The sequence below is a fragment of the Homo sapiens genome, chromosome 2 (genome assembly GCF_000001405.40).
Source record: "Homo sapiens chromosome 2, GRCh38.p14 Primary Assembly".
In the NCBI taxonomy this organism is placed as follows: Eukaryota; Metazoa; Chordata; class Mammalia; order Primates; family Hominidae; genus Homo; species Homo sapiens.
The window spans coordinates 231,809,254-231,811,510 of NC_000002.12; the positions used below are offsets into that span (position 1 = coordinate 231,809,254).

Consider the following 2,257-nt stretch of genomic DNA (forward strand, 5'->3'; position numbering starts at 1 on the left):
TATCCTCATTGGAAATTCATTACTCAGGTGTCCAAGCATTCCTTGTTGAGGAAGCCTGTACCCACATCGATTTTACCGCCAAATCCTTTTGGGTAATATCTAGGTGGAACAAATCTTAGGGAAATTTTGGGGAAAGTATATTTCTGAAGAAGCCTAAGAGTGCTGGGCGCAGTGACTCATGCCTGTAATCCCAACACTTTGGGAGGCTGAGGTGGGAGGATCATTTGAGCCCGGGAGTTTGAGGCCAGTCCACACAACATAGTGAGATCCCATCTCTGCTACAAATAAAACCCTAAGAGAAGCTGAACACCTTTCAACCTTACAGGTTTTCCCAGCTATTCTTTCTAGACCTCAAACAGTCACTCTCAGCAAGTTTTCTTTCATTCTTGTTTTTCCCACTGGCAAGTAGACTAGGAAACATGGTTTGACTTGTATGAAGTCTGTGACCATTCTTTATTTGATTGCCCCAAGGCCCTAAGGGTCCTCTCCATGATTCACCTTCCTTAAAAATAATGATGGCGACAATAATAACTTGTCTCTAAAGTGCTTTACAAAGTGTGTTTGCATACAATAAGTCATTCAGTCCCTTCCACCCAAACAGCCTTCTGAGGTTGGTAAGGGTATTCAGCCATCTTCGCTTTGCATATGAGAAGACAATCTCAAAGATTTGAAGTGTCCCAGTGGTAACTGGCAGAAGGAGAACTCTTAGATCTCCTGACTTGCACATCCTGTCATCTGCTGTGTTACATTCTCATCTAGAGTCTGCTCTCCACACTTGATCCTTGCTACCCCTCTACCTGCTGCTGTTCCTCTGAGAGTTCATCTTGCCTTTATTTTGAGGGAGGGAGGGGCAAGCCCAGTGTTAGTGTTGATTTTGCCCTCAAGGACCCTGGCGGGGAAGCAGTAGTGTTCCCATTGTAGAGGCCAGAAAAGCTGCCCAGTGACACAGCCAGGATCAGTCATGGAGCCATGATAGGCCAGAGCCTGAGCTCCCAGCCACTGAGGAGGGGTGGCAGAGGATTGTTTGGCCAGGTCTGTGTGGGCTGAAGGCTTGGTGACCAGGGACGACATGATCATCTGCAAGACCAATGCTATCACTGCCCTGAGGATGTTCTTCCCCCGAAAGTTTGCCTCCAATAGCACAGGCACCTGCGTCTCAGATGGTGGTGACATCTGAGTACTTGGACTTCATCAGCTGCCTGTAGGAGGTGAGGTAGCAGGAGGTGAGGGCAATACTCCCTTCAGCTTCAGCAGGTGAAAAGTGTGGTTCTCAATGAAGTTGAGCTAGTGTGTGCCAGGTCTCCTTCTACAGTGGGTACGCGTCATACAGGATCCCATCAAAGCGACCACCTGGCAGGGGAGCGCCACCTCCTTCCACAGGACTTTCAAGGGGATGACCTTGTGTGGCTGCTGCTGGGTCCAGTCCTGGAGCAGCTGGAAGATGCTGTCATTGCACTCCATGATCCAGTGTTCCTGGATGGCGACCTCCTGCACCTTCCATATTCTTGTGGCCATGCCGAAGCCCACCTCTAAGACTCGGCCCCCTTTGGAGGTGGTGAAGGCAGCGAAGGGGGTTGCAGTAGGGGCGCTCTTGCTGCAGATGGAGCCCCAACTTGGAACCCGACGTGCCAGGGCCCAGTCCCTGCAGCCATCTCACTTTTCACATACCTCATTTCTGCTTGCCAAACCCACCCAGCCACTTAATAAGGAAGCAGAGAGTATGGGATAGAGAAATTGTGGGAATAGTGGCCCAGCCAGATGTTCATTGCTCCACTGGGACTCTGATAGGAGGCTTGGCCTTCAAGCTCTGCAGTTTCCTGTCTGGCACCCTGGCAGCTGGGCTCAAGTCTAAAATGTGCAGAAGTGTTTTATAGATAAATAGAACATTCCAAAGAGATGGCCTCATCAGCAGTGAGACATCTTAGGGAAGGAGACACCACAGTATTAAAGAGAATTACCTCAATGGCAGTGCCTGTGAGCTGGCTTGAGCCACCTTCTTTACCTCTGAGCTTTCTGCCTTCTGAAGCCCTTTTTGCTCTTTCTGTTCAGATGAGAGGCATTATGGTTCCTATTTGGGTAACATTAGGGAGGTGGTCAAAGCCCCCAGTATAGCCCATTCCTGTAGTCCTAATCCAAGATGGTCATCACTGATAGTAGGATTCTCCTCTCCCCATTTCAGTCACAGGAAATGGGGTGGTGACCAAACAAGCTCAAGTGATAAACTGCTGGTGATATGTATATATGTTTGTTGTTTTCT

The 2,257-nt window shown here is 49.0% G+C and overlaps 1 pseudogene; it reads right to left on the minus strand.

The window, feature by feature from the left end:
• Positions 821 to 1,147, minus strand: GAMTP1 (guanidinoacetate N-methyltransferase pseudogene 1; annotated as a pseudogene).